The sequence below is a fragment of the Homo sapiens genome, chromosome 5 (genome assembly GCF_000001405.40).
Source record: "Homo sapiens chromosome 5, GRCh38.p14 Primary Assembly".
NCBI classification, from domain to species: domain Eukaryota; kingdom Metazoa; phylum Chordata; class Mammalia; order Primates; family Hominidae; genus Homo; species Homo sapiens.
In genome coordinates, this window is record NC_000005.10 from 15,897,271 (window position 1) to 15,920,899 (window position 23,629).

Consider the following 23,629-nt stretch of genomic DNA (forward strand, 5'->3'; position numbering starts at 1 on the left):
GAAAGAAAGATTTTAAGGAACTAAATCTAACGCCTTTGTTCGTCTTACTCATTTATTCAACAAATACTTATTGTATTTTCCTCTTAAGTGTGAGGCACTTCTGTAGATGTTGGAAAATAGTTTTGAACAGGATCATCAGGGCATGCATGATCATGGAGTTTACAGTCTGGTAGTAGGCTGAGGAACAAATATCTTAATTAACATAGAACATGCTGTAATAGTTTAAGTGAGGTGTACATCAGATGTTGAAGATCCCAGGAAATACTTTATGAAGAAGATACCAATTGAGTCAGATGTGAAAAGATTTTAAAGTAAAAACATAAATTCCCAAGGATGAGAAGGAAGAGGGGACAACATGAGTAGTGTCTGAAGGGTGGGAGAGTTTAGGCTATGCTCCCGGAAATAGGGAATAGTCTAGTTTTTCTAGAAGTCAGAAAGGTATAGGAGAAGAGGATGAAAAATTGTGTTGAAGCCCCAGCCAGGCCTGCCTTATGTGGATAGGCAAGAACTTTGTTTGGAATTCAGCAGGCAATGCAAGATGTTGCGTAAGGGATCAGTGGATGGATAGCAGCTGTGTTTTTAAAAAATTAATCCAATGGGAATGGACTAGAGTTGGAAAAGAGTAGAAGGTGTGAAACCCATTGGGAGGCCATCACTATCAATATATTTCATAATGTCACTGTGACTCCTACAAATAATGAGACACATTGCAAAGCCAGCATGCAAATGCGATAGACTTAGTGATGTATATAGCCAGAGTTTCCCATTCACTTCCACCTCCTCCTCAATACAAATCCCATGTTTTCCAAACTCATGACTATGAAGATCTGTCTTCAGCCTTGTTTAGTATAGCTATTGCATCCAAAGTAAGAGAAACCAGGATTTCACCTACAGGCAGAGTGAAGATACTCAGAAAGTAAACTCAGCCCCAGCCAGGGACTTCATGAGCTGGAACATTTGTTCAGCCAGCAACTATCCATCAGCTACTCATTTCTGGTGGGACGAAAATGTCTGAGCCTCCTTCTCCCCAGCCACGTTCAAAATTCTGTTAATTTACTTGAAAACATGACGAAAAGGCCTAAGCAATGGTCACCAAAAACCTGGTAGTGATATATAGGGGTAGTGCAATGTCAGCCAACCACGAGACTGATTGATAGACACATAACATTTATGTGTGTGAGAGAGAAAAAGGGAGAAAGCAGAAGGGATATCCTGCCTATCAGTCAGCATTAAAAGAGAGAAATGAAGAGATTGTCTTGAGCACTCATCATTCTCAAAGGAGATTTGTGCATTGATTCCAACAAAATTGTCCTTAGGCATAGAAATGTGAAAAGTGCTTTTATGGTAAAATTTAGATTTTAGCCTCAAGCTAAAAAGATGTGTCGCAGGATACAGTTCTTCACCTGAAATAGTTCCCATAGACACGAGGAGAAAACTCAATGTATTCTCGGCTCAGCTAATCCATTATGCCCATAGAAAAACGGCAGCTCAGAGCTGTGTTATGAACCCATTCAATACCACATGCGTTTGCAGCGCCATTTCCTCAGTTTCTGTTGCCTTTCATCTGGGATGTCACTTCATTGCTCCTGCTCAGCCTTTGCCAAGTATTTATTTTTTGGCCAGCAAATTACAAGGATTTTTTTTTTCCTCCTTTTTGAAAGGACTGAATAAGTCACAGAGCTTTCAAAACCAAGATTATGTGTATATAATATAAATGTGTGTGAGATATGTATACACACATTCTATCAATCATTATATATATATTTATACACACATTCTATCAATCATTACAAAATATATATATATATTTTTTGAGACGGAGTTTTGCTTTTGTTGCCCAGGCTGGAGTGCAATGGTGCAATCTCGGCTCACCGCAACCTCCACCTCCTGGGTTCAAGCGATTCTTCTGCCTCATCCTCCCAAGTAGCTGGGATTACAGGCATGTGCAACCACACCCAGCTAATTTTGTATTTTTAGTAGAGACGGGGTTTCTCCATGTTGGTCAGGCTGGTCTTGAACTCCCAACCTCAGGTGATCCGCCTGCCTCGGCCTCCCAATGTGCTGGGATTAACAGGCGTGAGCCACCGCGCCTGGCCAATCATTACAATATTTTTAACTCTTAACTTTAATTCTGAAACAGTGTAATGATTCAAGTGTTCTGCTGATTGAAATGATAGCATGTGATAACATTTCTATGAAAAAGGAGTTATCATTGAGATAAGCGGATTTGAAAAGCAAAGTTTTACAAGATTTTTTTATAAGCTTTGGTCTGAATGACTTAAGAAAATCAAGAAACCAAACCAAACCAAAAAACCCTAGTTTTGCCCCAGCAGTGCTTAAGACCTGGAGAACAACCATATCAATGCCTTAGAGAAGCTCAGAAGGGTGATGTCATGCAGTCTCCCCAGTCAGGAACTATTCAGAGGCCTGAAAGGGAAATCTGAAACAAAAAGACCCATAATCTAAATCATTAATGAGAAGAAAAAATTTCAGGAGCCCATAAAGACCTTCCTGCAAATAACTGAGAAGGGAAAGAGCTTTCAACAGACTTATTATAAGAATGTTGGTGGTAATGACCAAAGATATGAAACTCATCTTTAATGCTTTTTAAAGATACACACCTAAGAAAATGTCGCCAAGTATTTCCTCAGGGTCTTTGATGCAGAAATTTGTCCCTGGTACTGAGAATTAGTATCAAGATTAACTGGCCTTTGGAATATCTGTTGGGGAAGTCTACCTGGTAACCACACTATGATCCAACTCAGGTTCTCAGCTTGGTCAGCTCAATTTTTTTTTTTTCTTCCAGCATATAGGGAATGGTCCTACTTGGGACAGCCTTCTGTTGTCTAAGCTCACAAGAATATAATCAATTTATTTTTTACACGAAGAAATAAATAATTAATAGTACTGTACAAACACTGGATCCAGAAATATCCTCATCTTAAACCTGAGGTTACAGGACAGCATCTCTAAAAACAAAAGTCCATTATTAGGGTAAGAAAAAGGAAGTCATCCTCACCACATTCCTCAATACTAAGTGTAATCTTTTCTCACACGATGGCCTTCCACCACCCTAGTAACATCAATCTATACCAAAGAACTGCAAAGAAAGAAGAAAAACCTACTTTTCTTGGTGTTGGGGTCTGTAGGGATCTGTTCGTGGTGCCACTAGCCAAGCCAGCCATGGTAAGAGACAGAATGACAGGTGATGGCATTAAACAACAGAATCACTTCCTTTGCATAGATTTTTCTTTTTTACTTTCTCAATGAAATTCTTTATAATTCCCAGCAAACGTTTTATTTTGGATTCCTTTAGAAGTCAAGGCAGCATATAAAAACAAATCAAAGGTATAAACTTTAGAACCTTATGAGCAAACATCATAGTACATCATAAATGTCTCCAAATAACAAATAAATCAATAAAACTAAAAATGATGATTATAAGAATTGAAGTAGTATGGACTGTCTGAAATGTAAACGGTTTGGTTCAAGGACAAAGAAAATCATTGCTACTCCAACTTCTGCTAATATTTAGAAGAGCATGTGCCCCTTGGCCTAATTTTCAGGCTTCCAGTTTTCTTTAGAACAAGTTTACTTTACAATCTGAAGAAAAGCTAAACAGATAACTCATAAAAAGTGCTTCATTGAAATTAAGAATCTTTAGAGCACTCTGGACTCTTGATGAAACCTAAATTCTTCAAAAGTATCAAGTAGGAACCTGCTTAACTTCAAAAACACATGTGGAAAAATTAGAAAAATCAGAAGTAGATTCTTCAGTGGCCACTCTAAAAATGCATTCTTCAGTGGCTACCCCAATTTCTAAAAGCTATTAATGTATACTCCACCACTACAGTTCACTGAATGTCTTATTCTGTTCAGGATGCTGTAACAAAAATACCACAGACTAGATGGCTTATAAACAACAGAAATGTATTTCTCACAGCTGGAGGCTGAGGGGTCCAAAATCAAGCCTCTGCAGATTGGTGCCTGGTGGGGGCCTGCTTTTTGATTCATGGATGACTGTCTTCTGACTGTGTCTTCACGTGGTAGAAGAAGGGCAAGAGAGCTCTCTAAGGTCCCTTTCATAAAAGCACTAATTCCATTCATGAAGGTTCTGCCCACATGACCTAATCACGTCCCAAAGACCCCACTTGCAAATATCAGCACATCAGGAATCAGGTTTCAACACATGAATTTTGCAAGGATATAAACACATTCAGTCTATTGCACTAAATAATGAATGCTGGGAGGACCAAAAGTTCCTTCCCTTGTTATCATGTTTTTAAATTAATAATCCATAATTTACTTCCCTACAAGATTCTAAGTGACCCACAAGACATTAGAACAAACAAAAATGGGATGAAGCTAAAGTTAGATCTTACTGCTAAATTTTTCACAAAGTATTGCCCTTCTGAGTAGGACGAAGACCTGGATAATTTCTCTCACTTCAAAAAGATTTTTGATTCATACATAGCACAGTGCACTAAATACTCATTCATGAGTGTTAATACTTGGTTTTTCATTCTTGAAGAGTTTTAATCTGGATATGATTGCCGTGTCTTGCTGTATGTTGTATAGGTTTATTTTTCAGGTAAATACCAATTTCAGAATGCAAGGACCTAGGAAATTTAACTGCATCCTTCAACATTTAACTGCATCCTTCAACATTTAACTTGCATTGTTCAGACTAGCAAAAGTGATGTGATGATTATATGGCCAGAAAACTTGCATATAATAGGCCCCATAAACACTCCACTCCTCTCATGCTGCCACCCCATTACCTGTTTTACTTCCTCAGTGGGACAGGTTCCATGCAGCTGCCTCCCATCTTGTTGCTCTTAACCTTCTCTCTGTATGGGGAGTACACAGTGACGGTTTTATATTGGTTGTCTTGCTTCCACATGGCTGAGTTTTCCCCCTTCCCCCACAGCATGTTCAATATTTGGATTGGAACAGGATGTTTACAGCTACGGAGTTATTAGTTTGTTTCCTTTAGAAGGCTCAGAAGCCCCAACCGTGAAGCCCTAGAGTTCTTCCTGTCTCCACAGTACGGAGTGCCAAACGTTGCATCCGTGTCCACACAGTCATTACTATTACTATCTAAATGGGCTGATGTTTTCAGCCAGCATCTTTTTGCCATTTGCTGCCATTATGTTGACATAATGAAGACAACTGAATAATATACAAAGAAGAACTCAGAGGCTTTGATTAAAAGAAAAAAGTGTCCAGATGACTTGAGGAAGTTGGTACAATCCAGATTTCACATGTGATTTACTTTTGTCTGCTCTTATTATCCCAGTGTATGGCTCCATTGGTGACAGTGGCTTTCAAAATTTGCCCATGTTTGTGTGTAAAGCTTACTCTTGATGACAGAATTTGCTAGCTGCTTTTCTGAAGCCCCTTAAATAGATTTCAAGTTGGCTTGGAACCATTCAGGAAGCAGCAGTAGAGTTGGTTCAGCAAGTCCTCCAAATTGAGAGAAATAATAGAGCTGTACTCAGAAATCCAAGATCATGTTGTCATTGTCAGTCCTTCGGGGTGGATTCAGTATTTTCACTTCTGGCTTTCTAGGTGAGCACAGTGCAGCCTCTTGGCAAAGTTGCAATGATGCTAATGATGCAGGCTTCGAGCAGTAGGTCTAGGCAGTCAGAGCAGGGCAAGCCCCGTGGGACTGACTAGTGTCCAACCCACCACGGGTCTGGGCTCCAGAGCTCTTCTGCAAAAGTGCTTGGGCAGGAAAGATACAGCATCACCACTGTGAGGACCACTGGGAGCCACTTGCAGAAAAAAATCCACTGGGTTGAAGGCCAAGCAAGCCAAATGACTACATTGAGGGGTAGAGGCCATTTCAAAGTCGATATTAAACTTCGTGTATAACATTTCAGGAGCAATCGAGTAGAGAATGGGACCCATCTAGGGAAGAAAATGTTTCTTAAAAGATCAGACTCTCAACTCTTTCACTGAAGGATTCTGACAAATAAATCCTGCCTACCTGGAGTTCACTCTAATTCAGGGGTTGGGAGAAGGGGTTTAGAGTAAGCACCATGAAATCTGACAGGTTCTCCACATCTTTCCAAATTCTGGCACATTGTCTCCAGAAAGACCAGCACCCTCTGCATTGACATGGTTTTGTTGTTTCCTGACCTCTGGCCTATGTATAAATGTGAAAGTCTTTCTGACTAGCAATAATTATTCCTTCCTTCATACAAAAACAGAGAAGGAGTAGGGAAACCCACAATTTATTCCAACTGACATTTTTTATGCTTTTAGTTCTTAATTTTAATAGAGTTTTTTTTGGAATATCCTTTAAAGGAGGTTAGAAAACTTGACAGTATAGCAACTTAATGTTTCTTTCTCTTCTCACCCAACTCAAATTGTGATGGCTCTGCTAATCACCCTGATCTGATCATTATACATTATATGTATCAAAAGATCCCTGTGTACCCCATGAATATGTACAATTATTATTTGTCAACTTAAGAATTTTTATTAAATTAAATTAAATTAAAACAAACAGGTTAGAGGACAGTGCCATTAATTCATTCAAAGAAATCCAGTACAGAGGTGGCAGAACTCTTTTATCTTTCTATCTTCTGCCCTTTCACAATATAAAAATCAGAATTGTAGTTAATGGCTTTCTTTTTATGTAACTTTTGGAGAGTACTTTTTTATAGCCTATGGTAAGGGAAGGGAAGAAATAATGGTTATTTCAGGGATCTAAGTGTAAGGTTGACACCATGAAATACAGCACTGTTAGTATACCTTACAATAGTTACTACATTTTGAGGCATAAGATAAGAGTATCTCTAAATCTTCGTAGCTACATTTTTCTATTTTTCTTACTTTTTATCAGTAAAGTCATAAGACTACTGCAAGCATCATTTTTCTTAGCAACTCTAATTTAAAGATGTCGTCTTGTGTTTTGATAGGTTTTCAAGATTTGAACCAGATTTGTTCCTACTCGGTTATCTGTTAGTCAAATGTAAACAGCAACAGACCCTTTCTGACATCTTGTGTACTCATGTAAAATGAAACAATACAAAACTCATAACCGTCATGTGAATACACAATACACTTTGTTCCCTCTTTTGATTACAGAGCAATGCCAGACTCTAAAGAGGGATAATTATAAACTCTTTGTGGATTTTGTGGCAAAAGCAGAGATTCCTTGCTATGATTATTAGATAGATTATGGTTGGAATGGGTTGCTTCTAATTTTATTTTGGTCTTTACACAATTCGAATCATAAGGAGAAAAACTGTTTCAAAGGATAAAGAACAACTGTGGTCAAAGTCAAAATTATTTGTTAGGAATGCAAGACACCCACAAAAAACAGTCATATTAATAACTATGTATTTGATATCTTGCACATTAATCTTTGTCAAGATGTTCCTAAATTTTTCCCTAAAAAAATCTCTATTTCATATATATTTGGCTGTATTTATGAGTTATTTTTTAATAATAATAATAATGTGTGCTCTTTAGTTAATACATTAGCCTAAGAAAAATGTTAAAAGTACTAATATCTGGCCACCCATGTCACAATGTAAAATCATAACTTCCTAGAGGGAACTGGAACTGTAACCAACTAGGATGTTACCATACTAGGATACTGAATATGCAACATCGTAGTATGTAAAATATCAACATAAACGATGAGCCAGAATCCACCATTCTTTTTATTTTATGATTGAGTTATAAGCCTTGAATTCGCTTAAACAGGAACTAAAAGCAAAAGTTGTTCTTTGTGGCCTGTGCTTCTCTGCACTACATTTAAGCATTACCATAGTCAATCACTGGATATTCAGCTCTGTTATTTCACAAGACTCTTGACATTGCCAAAAGAGCCAACTTGGCCATTTTGCAAGACACTGTTTTAATCAACTTTTTATTTTCCTGATCCATAAAGCAACATGAAGCAATCTTTTAGCTATAAGCCATGCTTGCTTCCTTCAAATGAACTTAAAATTAATTCTAAGACAATAAAACACTGAAGTTTCTCTTTTTAAGCTAAAATTAAGGTGTTGTTTTCATTTTATTTTCACTTTTTGAACCATTTTAAAAGATGTGGTCTTTTTACCAAAGAGGACTAATCTATTGCTTGGAGGCCAGCCTGCAAATAATCTGGCCTAGAGTGAGGAATCCTTTTTAAGACAGTTTGTATTGAATGAACCAAAACAATTTCCACCCTGAGGCTTCCATCTGGTCAACCTCTGTTCAGTCCCATAAATAATTAATATGGAAAAATGGTGTTGTTTTTTTTTTTGTATCTTCAGTCCTCTTTGCTTTTACTAATTTAACAGAGAGATATTTAAAAACCAAACAAACAAATGTAACAACAACAACAAAATCTTGAAGAAAGCTCAGGCCACCAGCCTGGAATATGATGTCAGACTGTTAACATTTGCTGGCAAGAATTAAATATTTTCAGTTCAGTTCTAAACTTATGAAGATAAACAAAGTGGTCTGCCCATCAGAAAAGTGTGAATATTGTGATGTGGCTTGGGGGACACATAAGAAAGAAAACAGAAGGCAGGAATGGAGAGGATAGGTCATAATTAATACACTCAATCTACCCTTGTGCCTCCTCTTCGACCCCAACCCCAACCCCACCCATGTCACAATGTAAAATCATAACTTCCTGGAGGGAACAGGAAGTGTAACCAACTAGGATGTTACCATACTAGGATGCTGAATACGCAACATCCTAGTATATAAAATATCAACGTAAATGATGAGCCAGAATCCACCATTCTGTTTATTTTATGATTGAGTTATAAGCCTTGAATTTGCTTAAAAGGGAACTAAAAGCAAAGATTGCCTAGAAAAGTGGTTCTAAATAAAGATCATCGCCAACATATCAAATGTACACTTCCTTCCCTCCTGGTTCCAAACCCAGGCATTTTTTTTTAATGATATTGCAAAATTTTATTGAGGAGCTTTACACATTGGTCAATGCTATGTTATATAGTTACATTTAAATTTATTTTTTCAAACTTGATTTAAATGCCATTAAGAAATACAGCCTATAAATATAAACTTCTAAGTATCTTTCTAAAGAGAAACATGACTCAGAAATTATAGGCTGTTGAGATATGGGTGCTTTGCAGAGTTTATGATAGGTCCCCATTCTATAGAGCTATTTTACATAGTTGACCTAGAAGGATTTTTTTTTTTTTTTTTTTATGTAACATGTATTTTACCATAATTATTATTTTTTAGTTGTTCAGGATCCACAAAAAATTTTTTTTTTTTTTTATTATACTCTAAGTTTTAGGGTACATGTGCATATTGTGCAGATTAGTTACATATGTATACATGTGCCATGCTGGTGCGCTGCACCCACTAATGTGTCATCTAGCATTAGGTATATCTCCCAATGCTATCCCTCCCCCCTCCCCCGACCCCACCACAGTCCCCAGAGTGTGATATTCCCCTTCCTGTGTCCATGTGATCTCATTGTTCAATTCCCACCTATGAGTGAGAATATGCGGTGTTTGGTTTTTTGTTCTTGCGATAGTTTACTGAGAATGATGGTTTCCAATTTCATCCATGTCCCTACAAAGGATATGAACTCATCATTTTTTATGGCTGCATAGTATTCCATGGTGTATATGTGCCACATTTTCTTAATCCAGTCTATCATTGTTGGACATTTGGGTTGGTTCCAAGTCTTTGCTATTGTGAATAGTGCCGCAATAAACATACGTGTGCATGTGTCTTTATAGCAGCATGATTTATACTCATTTGGGTATATACCCAGTAATGGGATGGCTGGGTCAAATGGTATTTCTAGTTCTAGATCCCTGAGGAATCGCCACACTGACTTCCACAATGGTTGAACTAGTTTACAGTCCCACCAACAGTGTAAAAGTGTTCCTATTTCTCCGCATCCTCTCCAGCACCTGTTGTTTCCTGACTTTTTAATGATTGCCATTCTAACTGGTGTGAGATGATATCTCATAGTGGTTTTGATTTGCATTTCTCTGATGGCCAGTGATGATGAGCATTTCTTCATGTGTTTTTTGGCTGCATAAATGTCTTCTTTTGAGAAGTGTCTGTTCATGTCCTTCGCCCACTTTTTGATGGGGTTGTTTGTTTTTTTCTTGTAAATTTGTTTGAGTTCATTGTAGATTCTGGATATTAGCCCTTTGTCAGATGAGTAGGTTGCGAAAATTTTCTCCCATGTTGTAGGTTGCCTGTTCACTCTGATGGTAGTTTCTTTTGCTGTGCAGAAGCTCTTTAGTTTAATTAGATCCCATTTGTCAATTTTGTCTTTTGTTGCCATTGCTTTTGGTGTTTTGGACATGAAGTCCTTGCCCACGCCTATGTCCTGAATGGTAATGCCTAGGTTTTCTTCTAGGGTTTTTATGGTTTTAGGTTTAACGTTTAAATCTTTAATCCATCTTGAATTGATTTTTGTATAAGGTGTAAGGAAGGGATCCAGTTTCAGCTTTCTACATACGGCTAGCCAGTTTTCCCAGCACCATTTATTAAATAGGGAATCCTTTCCCCATTGCTTGTTTTTCCCAGGTTTGTCAAAGATCAGATAGTTGTAGATATGCGGCATTATTTCTGAGGGCTCTGTTCTGTTCCATTGATCTATATCTCTGTTTTGGTACCAGTACCATGCTGTTTTGGTTACTGTAGCCTTGTAGTATAGTTTGAAGTCAGGTAGTGTGATGCCTCCAGCTTTGTTCTTTTGGCTTAGGATTGACTTGGCAATGCGGGCTCTTTTTTGGTTCCATATGAACTTTAAAGTAGTTTTTTCCAATTCTGTGAAGAAAGTCATTGGTAGCTTGATGGGGATGGCATTGAATCTGTAAATTACCTTGGGCAGTATGGCCATTTTCACGATATTGATTCTTCCTACCCATGAGCATGGAATGTTCTTCCAATTGTTTGTGTCCTCTTTTATTTCCTTGAGCAGTGGTTTGTAGTTCTCCTTGAAGAGGTCCTTCACATCCCTTGTAAGTTGGATTCCTAGGTATTTTATTCTCTTTGAAGCAATTGTGAATGGGAGTTCACCCATGATTTGGCTCTCTGTTTGTCTGTTGTTGGTGTATAAGAATGCTTGTGATTTTTGTACATTGATTTTGTATCCTGACACTTTGCTGAAGTTGCTTATCAGCTTAAGGAGATTTTGGGCTGAGACGATGGGGTTTTCTAGATAAACAATCATGTCGTCTGCAAACAGGGACAATTTGACTTCCTCTTTTCCTAATTGAATACCCTTTATTTCCTTCTCCTGCCTGATTGCCCTGGCCAGAACTTCCAACACTATGTTGAATAGGAGCGGTGAGAGAGGGCATCCCTGTCTTGTGCCAGTTTTCAAAGGGAATGCTTCCAGTTTTTGCCCATTCAGTATGATATTGGCTGTGGGTTTGTCATAGATAGCTCTTATTATTTTGAAATACGTCCCATCAATACCTAATTTATTGAGAGTTTTTAGCATGAAGGGTTGTTGAATTTTGTCAAAGGCTTTTTCTGCATCTATTGAGATAATCATGTGGTTTTTGTCTTTGGCTCTGTTTATATGCTGGATTACATTTATTGATTTGCGTATATTGAACCAGCCTTGCATCCCAGGGATGAAGCCCACTTGATCATGGTGGATAAGCTTTTTGATGTGCTGCTGGATTCGGTTTGCCAGTATTTTATTGAGGATTTTTGCATCAATGTTCATCAAGGATATTGGTCTAAAATTCTCTTTTTTGGTTGTGTCTCTGCCCGGCTTTGGTATCAGAATGATGCTGGCCTCATAAAATGAGTTAGGGAGGATTCCCTCTTTTTCTATTGATTGGAATAGTTTCAGAAGGAATGGTACCAGTTCCTCCTTGTACCTCTGGTAGAATTCGTCTGTGAATCCATCTGGTCCTGGACTCTTTTTGGTTGGTAAACTATTGATTATTGCCACAATTTCAGAGCCTGTTATTGGTCTATTCAGAGATTCAACTTCTTCCTGGTTTAGTCTTGGGAGAGTGTATGTGTCGAGGAATGTATCCATTTCTTCTAGATTTTCTAGTTTATTTGCGTAGAGGTGTTTGTAGTATTCTCTGATGGTAGTTTGTATTTCTGTGGGATCGGTGGTGATATCCCCTTTATCATTTTTTATTGTGTCTATTTGATTCTTCTCTCTTTTTTTCTTTATTAGTCTTGCTAGCGGTCTATCAATTTTGTTGATCCTTTCAAAAAACCAGCTCCTGGATTCATTGATTTTTTGAAGGGTTTTTTGTGTGTGTCTCTATTTCCTTCAGTTCTGCTCTGATTTTAGTTATTTCTTGCCTTCTGCTAGCTTTTGAATGTGTTTGCTCTTGCTTTTCTAGTTCTTTTAATTGTGATGTTAGGGTGTCAATTTTGGATCTTTCCTGCTTTCTCTTGTAGGCATTTAGTGCTATAAATTTCCCTCTACACACTGCTTTGAATGCGTCCCAGAGATTCTGGTATGTGGTGTCTTTGTTCTCGTTGGTTTCAAAGAACATCTTTATTTCTGCCTTCATTTCGTTATGTACCCAGTAGTCATTCAGGAGCAGGTTGTTCAGTTTCCATGTAGTTGAGCGGCTTTGAGTGAGATTCTTAATCCTGAGTTCTAGTTTGATTGCACTGTGGTCTGAGAGATAGTTTGTTATAATTTCTGTTCTTTTACATTTGCTGAGGAGAGCTTTACTTCCAACTATGTGGTCAATTTTGGAATAGGTGTGGTGTGGTGCTGAAAAAAATGTATATTCTGTTGATTTGGGGTGGAGAGTTCTGTAGATGTCTATTAGGTCTGCTTGGTACAGAGCTGAGTTCAATTCCTGGGTATCCTTGTTGACTTTCTGTCTCGTTGATCTGTCTAATGTTGACAGTGGGGTGTTAAAGTCTCCCATTATTAATGTGTGGGAGTCTAAGTCTCTTTGTAGGTCACTGAGGACTTGCTTTATGAATCTGGGTGCTCCTGTATTGGGTGCATAAATATTTAGGATAGTTAGCTCCTCTTGTTGAATTGATCCCTTTACCATTATGTAATGGCCTTCTTTGTCTCTTTTGATCTTTGTTGGTTTAAAGTCTGTTTTATCAGAGACTAGGATTGCAACCCCTGCCTTTTTTTGTTTTCCATTGGCTTGGTAGATCTTCCTCCATCCTTTTATTTTGAGCCTATGTGTGTCTCTGCACGTGAGATGGGTTTCCTGAATACAGCACACTGATGGGTCTTGACTCTTTATCCAACTTGCCAGTCTGTGTCTTTTAATTGCAGAATTTAGTCCATTTATATTTAAAGTTAATATTGTTATGTGTGAATTTGATCCTGTCATTATGATGTTAGCTGGTGATTTTGCTCATTAGTTGATGCAGTTTCTTCCTAGTCTCGATGGTCTTTACATTTTGGCATGATTTTGCAGCGGCTGGTACCGGTTGTTCCTTTCCATGTTTAGCGCTTCCTTCAGGAGCTCTTTTAGGGCAGGCCTGGTGGTGACAAAATCTCTCAGCATTTGCTTGTCTATAAAGTATTTTATTTCTCCTTCACTTATGAAGCTTAGTTTGGCTGGATATGAAATTCTGGGTTGAAAATTCTTTTCTTTAAGAATGTTGAATATTGGCCCCCACTCTCTTCTGGCTTGTAGGGTTTCTGCCGAGAGATCCGCTGTTAGTCTGATGGGCTTTCCTTTGAGGGTAACCCGACCTTTCTCTCTGGCTGCCCTTAACATTTTTTCCTTCATTTCAACTTTGGTGAATCTGACAATTATGTGTCTTGGAGTTGCTCTTCTCGAGGAGTATCTTTGTGGCGTTCTCTGTATTTCCTGAATCTGAACGTTGGCCTGCCTTGCTAGATTGGGGAAGTTCTCCTGGATAATATCCTGCAGAGTGTTTTCCAACTTGGTTCCATTCTCCACATCACTTTCAGGTACACCAATCAGATGTAGATTTGGTCTTTTCACATAGTCCCATATTTCTTGGAGGCTTTGCTCATTTCTTTTTATTCTTTTTTCTCTAAACTTCCCTTCTTGCTTCATTTCATTCATTTCATCTTCCATTGCTGATACCCTTTCTTCCAGTTGATCGCATCGGCTCCTGAGGCTTCTGCATTCTTCACGTAGTTCTCGAGCCTTGGTTTTCAGCTCCATCAGCTCCTTTAAGCACTTCTCTGTATTGGTTATTCTAGTTATACATTCTTCTAAATTTTTTTCAACGTTTTCAACTTCTTTGCCTTTGGTTTGAATGTCCTCCCGTAGGTCAGAGTAATTTGATCGTCTGAAGCCTTCTTCTCTCAGCTCGTCAAAATCATTCTCCATCCAGCTTTGTTCTGTTGCTGGTGAGGAACTGCGTTCCTTTGGAGGAGGAGAGGCGCTCTGCGTTTTAGAGTTTCCAGTTTTTCTGTTCTGTTTTTTCCCCATCTTTGTGGTTTTATCTACTTTTGGTCTTTGATGATGGTGATGAACAGATGGGTTTTCGGTGTAGATGTCCTTTCTGTTTGTTAGTTTTCCTTCTAACAGACAGGACCCTCAGCTGCAGGTCTGTTGGAATACCCTGCCGTGTGAGGTGTCAGTGTGCCCCTGCTGGGGGGTGCCTCCCAGTTAGGCTGCTCGGGGGTCAGGGGTCAGGGACCCACTTGAGGAGGCAGTCTGCCCGTTCTCAGATCTCCAGCTGCGTGCTGGGAGAACCACTGCTCTCTTCAAAGCTGTCAGACAGGGACACTTAAGTCTGCAGAGGTTACTGCTGTCTTTTTGTTTGTCTGTGCCCTGCCCCCAGAGGTGGAGCCTACAGAGGCAGGCAGGCCTCCTTGAGCTGTGGTGGGCTCCACCCAGTTCGAGCTTCCCAGCTGCTTTGTTTACCTAAGCAAGCCTGGGCAATGGCGGGCGCCCCTCCCCCAGCCTCGTTGCCGCCTTGCAGTTTGATCTCAGACTGCCGTGCTAGCAATCAGCGAGATTCCGTGGGCGTAGGACCCTCTGAGCCAGGTGTGGGATATAGTCTCGTGGTGCGCCGTTTCTTAAGCCGGTCTGAAAAGCGCAATATTCGGGTGGGAGTGACCCGATTTTCCAGGTGCGTCCGTCACCCCTTTCTTTGACTCGGAAAGGGAACTCCCTGACCCCTTGCGCTTCCCAGGTGAGGCAATGCCTCGCCCTGCTTCGGCTCGCGCACGGTGCGCACACACACTGGCCTGCGCCCACTGTCTGGCACTCCCTAGTGAGATGAACCCGGTACCTCAGATGGAAATGCAGAAATCACCCGTCTTCTGCGTCGCTCACGCTGGGAGCTGTAGACCGGAGCTGTTCCTATTTGGCCATCTTGGCTCCTCCCCACCGACCTAGAAGGATTTTCCACAAGTATTTCAGTTTGCTTGAATTCTACTCCACAACTGAATTTCCAAAACATTATTATTAACTTTGCATTAAAATGGAGCTTTCTATTAAAAAAAAAAGAAGTATGACAAGTTCTGAAAACTAAGATGATCACTCTAGAATTAGGCCCATGTTACTCCACCATAAAAGTCCTGCCTCCCGCACTCAGGGACCCACCGAAACGCCAGTCTTTGTGCTATTTAATATTGGGTCCATTCACTGGAAAAGCCCTGCCCTAGAAAGGGGCTCTGGGGTCTTTAAAGAAGAGATTATGAACTTAGACTGTAGTAGGCCCAGGGAACTACCCATGCGAAATGTATCCCAGGTCAATATAAGGTGACCTTTAGAATCAGAGCCCAGCGTGCTGCAGAGAGACCCTTAGCAGAGAAATTAAACAATGTTTAAGTGTACTAAGTCTCTTTACGTGTTCTTTCTCTCTATATTTGATAATATAGAAAGAATAAAATGTTTCTCTATATCCTTGGGTCACTGGTTTTTCCAAGCATTTAAAAATGTTAATGGGAATGTGGAATTTATGAGTTTACATTTGTTTGGCACTTAGTGCCTTGGATATAGTAAGTGCTTTACACAAAACTTTATGTTAAAAGAAATTGTTGTAAAGATTTTCAACAACAGTGGATCATATTTTCTTTTTTTTTTTAATGTTTTTTTTTATTAATTTTTTTTTTTATTATACTCTAAGTTTTAGGGTACATGTGCACATTGTGCAGGTTAGTTACATATGTATACATGTGCCATGCTGGTGCGCTGCACCCACTAACGATCATATTTTCAAATGACTAAGGAAATGCAAGGATTCACTATGCTATGAAAGTGTTCTAATTACTTATTGATCTTTTACATGGTCGTAAGTTTAGTGGAGATTTCTCTTTTTTTCTCGTTGAAAGTTGAATTTGTGAGCTAGACTATTGCTCCCTGTGGGGCTTGTTTTCTGCTGTGAACTGAAAATGTATTAGTATCTTTTTACTAGAATCTAAATTCAATACTATGCCATCTATTGTAAAGATGTAAACGTTGGAATTTTGTAACTATTCATGGGGAAATGAGACTAAAGAATTATCTGACAATTGAATATAGAAAATAATTAAGGCAGCTACATAAAGTGCAACTCGAAGATTGAAAATTACGGATTGCAAGCCTTTGCATGAAAATACATGTGTTTCTTCTCTTGTCAAGACAAGAAAGAGCTGGCTCCTTTCCCAAGCTTTGCAAAACTATCTCTGAGCTCTCTGGAAGACAGGGAATTAGAAATACTGTCGCTTCCACACTGTCAAAGAGAAGCCAGTTCCAGTTATTACAGTTGATGCGTGACTTAGTTCGGGGGTTGGGGAGGGCAGGGGGACAGGAATACAAACAAAAGTTTCTGTTACATCTTAGGTAACTAAATTTCAACAGTAGAGATCTTAAAATTCTGGGCCAATGTAAAAGTGTTACTCATTTTTATTTATTGTGAGTTTTCAGGTATCGTTGTTATTAGAAATGAGCAGGGGGCCGGGCGGGCGTGGTGGCTCACGCCTGTAATCCCAGCACTTTGGGAGGCCGAGGCGGGCGGATCTCGAGGTCAGGTGATCGAGACCATCCTGGCTAACATGATAAAACCCTGTCTCTACTAAACATACAAAAAATTAGTCGGGCGTGGTGGCGGGTGCCTGTAGTCCCAGCTACTCATGAGGCTGAGGCAGGAGAATGGTGTGAACCTGGGAGGCAGAGCTTGCAGTGAGCCGAGATCGCGCCACTGCACTCCAGCCTGGGCGACAGAGCAAGACTCCCTCTCAAAAAAAAAAAAAAAAAAAAGGAATGAGCAGGGATCTGGATAATCTATGATAGCAGGTATTGTGAAGAAAAAAGCACCAAGCATTTGGTTCTGAGATGCTTTAGGTGATGTGGGCTGCATGAGATTGTTTTTGGGTGTACATGTGTCTTTTTAAATATCTTCTGAGTAGATTAATACTATTAAACTAAGTGTATGTACTAGCTAAGCCTAAATTAAGTGGAGGGGCAAAAACAAAAGACCTGAAAATGAAATATTGATAAATCACAGAAATGTTCCAACTTCTTCAATCTGAAACATCTGGTTCCTCCAAGTAATTCCTGTAAATATTTCCAACTGCAACCAAAAAGAAAATGAAAGTGATTTGTGGTAGGACCGAGCGAGCACATTCTCCCCTTGGTGCATTAGTTGAGCAGCTTCTGGGTGGCTGAATCCATATAAGACTCTGGACTGACTCAGAGATGAAGGAGGCATCTCCTGGCCTCGAAGTGCTCACAGTATACTGGATGGAGAGGCACTCTGTGCAAAGGGCTATGATGCAGATATATTTGAATTCAGTGGAAACACTAAAAGTAGCTAAATATTAATAATTCAGCCTTGCTGGATCTGGGAAGGCTTGGCAGAAAAGCTGACTTCTGACCAGGAGCTTGAGTGATGACTGAAAATTCATCAGTTAATCTGGAGAAACAGGCCTTCTGGGCTGGGAGAACATGAGCATGTGCTCTGCAATGTAAATTTTGGGGAAGAATCTCATACATACTCTAAAAAATGGATTTTGTTCCCTGGGTAGTGTTCCGTACAATGCCTGGCATATAGTAAGCATTCAATATAAAAGTGTGGAAAGAGCTGTACTGGCTTCCTGGGCTGCTGTAACAAAATACTGCAAACTAGGTGGCATACAGCAACAGAATTTATTGTCTCACAGTTCTAGAGGTTGGAATTCCCAAACCAAGGTGTTGACAGAGATGTGGAGTAGGATCCTTTCTTGCTTCTTGCAGCTCCTGGAAGCCCCAGATGTTTCTGGAGTGTTGCAGTGTAACTCTAGTTTCGGCCTCCGTCTTCACAGTGCCATCTCCCTCTGCATATGAGTCTTTCTGTGTCTATACCCTGTGTCTCTGTCTTGCCTGCTTATGAAGACACTAGTCATATTGGATTAAGAGTCTACTCTAATCGAGCATGACCTCCTCTTAACCTAATACGTCAATAGACCTTATTTCCAAATAAGGTCACTTTCACAGACACAGGGCTGGTTAAGACTTCATCATATCTTTTGCAGGGGACGCAATTCAACCCGTAACAGAAGGAATGAGCTAGTCAAGGTTTTGATGCCGGGAAAAATGGTCCATATTTTAGAAAGTAAACCCTGAATGCAGGATGGAGTCCATATTAGTAAGGTGAAGGGTGGGAAGGAAGACTAGAATCAGGAGTCTCAGTTAACGAGTTGTTGAAAGGAGATGAGAGATGATGAGCACTTGAGCAGGGTGGGAGCAGTGGAGAGAGAAGGGAAACAGACGTGAAATCCATAGCCAGTCAAAGTGAGGGACTTGGGGACTGATTAGATATAGGTAGATGAGGGTCAGGGAGGATTCAAGATGATTCCTAGGGTTCTATCCTGGGAGGCAGACCTGATGAATGGTGATGCCACTAATGATAATACAGAACGTAAGGCGGAACTTTTGTTTTGCAAAGGATATTGATGAGTTCACCCTTGTACACATTGTATTGGTGATACATCAAATACACTTGTGGGGAGAGGACTAGTTGTCCATAGAACTCCATGGAATCATTCTATGCCTGTGCTATGTAAAATACTGTTTTGTGGCTGCTGAGCTCTTGAAATGTGGCTAGTGCACCTGAGGACCTGAATTTTCAGTTTAATAAATTTAATTTCCAATAGTCACCTGTGCCTAGTGGTTACCATATTAGAGAGCACTGACCTAGCAGGTACTTAGACATGTGTGTTTGATATTTGAGAGAGATGCAGAGATGGGGGAGCATGGTCTAGATTGAAAATCGAATTTGGGGAGTCATTAGCTTATAGGCAATTGCTGAAGCCTTGTGGGCCGTGAGCCCATCGAGCAGGGAGCCAGATACAGAGATGAGTTAAGAGTGCAACCCTTGGGGAACATCAGTGTATAAGTTGTATACCACAAAAGAGAGTGAGCAAAGGACACCTGAGAAGCAGAAAGGAAAAGCAGAAGAGAGGACAGTGTTGCAGAAGGCAGAGGAAAAATTTCAAGGAGAATGCAGTCTACCATATCCGAGGAAAACAAATTTCATTTAATAAACTATGAAAAGGGGCTTTCACAATTACAATATTCCTTTACCAATAAATGAAATAGCCATATTTTATTAACAAAGAGTAAGTACATTGTGCTCTAACCATGGAATTTATCTTTATCTTCCCTCCACCTCCAGCCAAAGGTTAATGGAGGCAACAATAAGGAATTTATAAAGATGGGAGTATTCCAGGGAATCCAGAATAATATGCCTCTAAAAACATTGCCCTATAGCAGGAGGGCCCAGAATGCATTTCCCATGAAGTCCTCAATAGAAGTTGTGTAACTGTTTTAATGCCTGTACTGATGGTAGTATCACTTTTCATAGACTCTGCCTAAATACTCTGTGAAGTGGGTAGACTTATTTCCAGTTTACGTAAGAGGAATCTGTGGCTCATGGAGTTTCAGTGTCTTGCCTCAGATGATACAAGCTGCACATAGTAGAGTTAGGAATCCAGGTTTTTCTGTCCATGCTCTTTCCACCTCAACAGTGTTTTCTAAACTTAAGACATTGACATTCTGCTCTCATGATTTTTTCCATATATGCTCACCACTTCAACCGATATTCACTTAATATTTTTAAAGTAAACTTAAATTATTATTTAAAAGCTGAATATTATAGTTTTACTTGGAAAACCAGTATCACTCGCCATAAATATATGGTGATTTTGAAATAAAAAAAAATCACACCTGTAATCCCAATATGTTGGAGGCTAAGGTGGCAAGATCACTTGAGCCCAGGAGTTCAGGACATGGGAAATATAGCAAGATCTCATCTCTACAGAAAATTTTAAAAATGAGCCAGGCATGGCAGCATGTGCCTGTAGTTCCATCTACTCGGGAGGCTGAAGCAGGAGGATCCCTTGAGTCCAGGGGTTCAAGGTTGCAGTGAGCTTTGATCATGTCACTGCACTCCAGCCTGGGTGACAGAGTAAGACCCTGTCTCAAAAATAAAGTAAATGAAAGAAAGTAAAGGAAGGGAGGGAAGGAAGGAAGGAAGGAAGGAAGGAAGGAAGGAAGGAAGGAAGGAAGGAAGAAAGAAAGGAAGGAAGGAAGGACGATGCTAGCGAAATACTACTGCCTGCCAAAGACTTTAAATCAGAGGCTTATGCCTTTTTTTTTTTTTTTCATTAAAAAGGGACATCAGCAAATGTTTAAAGATATTCTAGAAACATTCTCTACCATAGGAGATTAACCCCTTGCCTTGTGAAAAAAGTGGCCTCTAATAGCAATGCTACTCTAGCTCAGGGATGAAAATGAAACTTCCTGCTTTCCATTAAAGAGTAAATATTACAGGCCACATGCAGTGGCTCATGCCTGTAATCCCAGCACTTTGGGAGGCTGAGGCGGGCAGATCACTTGAGGTCAGGAGTTCGAAGCCAGCCTGGCCAACATGGTGAAACCCCATCTCTACAAAAAATACAAAAATTAGCTGGGCATGGTGGTGTGCGCCTATAATCCCAGCTACTCAGGAGGCTGAGGCAGGAGAATCACTAGAACCTGGGAGGCAGAGGTTGCAATGAGCTGAGATCATGCCACTGCACTCCAGCCTGGGTGACAGGGTGAGATTCCGTCTCAAAAGAAAAAAAGAAAAGAATAAAGTCCTTCTGCGATTTAAGGAAAAAGAGGGTACTAAGAAGTTGTTTGATAAAACCATGAAGAGTCTGATGGATTATAATCTAGGACTCACACACTTTCTGAGGCCACCCAATCTTTATTCGGACAGAAATTTCTTAGAAGATACTTTCTAGATACTCACACTGGAGGCAAAAACCAAACTGTATTATAGATTTCAAAAGTGCATTCTGTACATTTCATTGATATACTTATGGATTTTAGAACAATGTGGCTTAAACGTTTCCTTAGCTGTATGAATATTCCCTTCTAGAAGAGCTAAAGGAAAAACAAAACCCACGCTTAGTTCGGATCAGACTCAAAAACTGGGCAACACTGGAAAACTGGGGTTTGTGACTCAGTGAAGAGCTGAACAGTGGACTGGCCTCTGTGACTGATATTACATGAGTTCCACCATCCTCGCCAATTTCCCACACATCAGTCACCACAATGCTACCCTTATCAGACTGGTCCATGTGACCAAGAAAGCAGGTCTTTTGTCCTTGGACAGGAGTCTCTGCCATCGTCTGATCCTGGGGGGTACCAACTGCTGGACGATATTCTCAGCAAGAACTCTTGAGTCCTAAAGCTAACTCCCTCCAGGTGAAATGCAAGATTAACGTCTGCATACATTTCTACTTTATCACAACTAATGCCTTAAGTAGGTTCTAGGTTGTGTAGATGATCTGAACCACATTAAAAGAAAATATTTTTAAGTAAAACAAGAAGAAAAACGATCGCTCAGATTGTGTTCTTTTCTCACTAGCTAGGTTTTATTGATCTATTTTTTTAAGCTTGAGTTTAAGCTAAGAAAAGAAATCTTGCTTTTTATGGCAAGAGTTCTTGAGGAAAAAGACAACTTATAATAGAAAGCATCTTGCACAAAAGTTTTGGTAATCAGAGGGGGAAGATGAAGAGGAGCTTTGTAAATTTTGACTTTGAAAGGCCATTGTAATGTAAATATGACTTCCTAGAGTGTAAACAACAGTGGTTTGAAATTAAAAATTTGTACAAAACAGGCAGCTATCTAGTTAAAAGAAAATGTGTCTAATAAGCATGTGTGTCTGAGATGTCTTGAATATTTTGATACTATACTGTAATTACTAACGATATAAAATTTCCAAGACTTTTGAAACCATGAGAAAGTTTTTAGGATTTTTTTTCCCCAGAAAAAGACAGCTATACTTTTTTGGTACTCTACACATTTAAAGTAATTTAAGAATAAAAAACATACTGTTCCCACACAAATACTTGAAAGTATTTTAAATTATTAATGGAACCACAAGTTCTTAAACTTTAAAGAATCCTCTGTCTCTTAGTTTAGCCAACAGATGATTATATTAACATAAAAAAGTACGGTTACATATATTTGAGTTAAGGATCATCATTGTGTCAAGAAAATATTACATTTATAATGAGAAAATCCAAAAGTTCACTAAGAATATTGTTTAATTCAAACGTTATATTTATTGTCTTCATCTTGGACTTCTGAAAACTGACTTTTTTCTCAGACTTGCACAAACCATTCTATTCTTTACCATGCTGGGTTTTGCATGATTTGGAGGCATTCTCACCATAGAGCCATTTTTCTCTCACCCTGAAGGACATAGGAAAGAAATTAGAGATGTCAGAACAGTTGTGTGGAGGTACTTTAATGGGACCATGGTGCAGAAAGGAGGTGGGGTAAAAATATTTGCTTTAGGCCAACCATGGTGGCTCACGCCTGTAGTCCCAGGACTTTGGGAGGCTGATGTGGGCAGATCACAAGGTCAGGAGTTCCAGACCAGCCTGACCAACATGGTGAAACCCCATCTCTACTACAAATACAAAAATTAGCCAGGTATGCTGGCAGGCGCCTGTAATCCCAGCGACTCAGGAGGCTGAGGCAGGAGAATTGCTTGAACCCAGGAGGCGGAGGTTGCAGTGAGCCAAGATTGCACCACTGCACTCCAGCCTGGATGACAGAGCGAGACTCCATCTCAAAAAAAAAAAAATTGCTTTATAATCTAGTTAAATGCAATGACTCCTCCCTTTCTAGACCAAACTGGGCACTTGGGCAGCAGTAACAATGTATATTAAATGATCCAATAAACAAACGGTCTCTTTTGCCTGTAAATCTGTAATGCAAAAATCTGCAGCAGTGCAGTTTACTGAATTTTAATGCCAAATGTCTATTGCTGTATATTCCTTGCCATCTACTCTGTGTATCTTCCTGCAGACATCAATGTGGGTTTGTTATTTTTTGTTTGTTTTTTTTTGTTTTGAGACAGAGTCTCCCTCTGTCACCCACACTGGAGTGCAGTGGCTCAATCTCGGCTCACTGCAACCTCCACCTCCTGGGTTCAAGCGATTCTCCTGCCTCAGCCACCCAAGTAGCTGGGATTACAGGCACCTGCCACCATGCCCAGCTAATTTTTGTATTTTTAATAGAGATGGGGTTTCACCATGTTCACCAGGCTGGTCTCAAACTCCTGACCTCTGGTGATCCGCCTGCCTCAGCCTCCCAAAGTGCTGGAATTACAGGTGTGAGGCACCACGCTCAGCCTCTTTGGTTCTTTTTGTGTCTTTTGGTTGTATTCAGCTTTCTGATATCATTGGGAGACAGTTAAATCACAAAATACACT

At 39.7% G+C, this 23,629-nt stretch overlaps 1 protein-coding gene across 5 annotated transcripts in view, besides 1 other annotated feature; it reads left to right on the forward strand.

Annotated features, from left to right (window-relative positions):
* FBXL7 (F-box and leucine rich repeat protein 7) overlaps positions 1–23,629 on the forward strand; it is a 439,614-nt gene that overhangs the window by 397,091 nt on the left and 18,894 nt on the right. The gene's annotated exons all lie outside the window — the stretch shown is intronic.
* Positions 21,608–22,109: an enhancer, noted in NCBI's record as "NANOG hESC enhancer chr5:15918987-15919488 (GRCh37/hg19 assembly coordinates)". NCBI's record gives its function as "activates a minimal SCP1, AML or CMV promoter by ChIP-STARR-seq in naive H9 embryonic stem cells {active_cell/tissue: H9 hESC(naive)}" and the evidence as "EXISTENCE:reporter gene assay evidence [ECO:0000049][PMID:30033119]".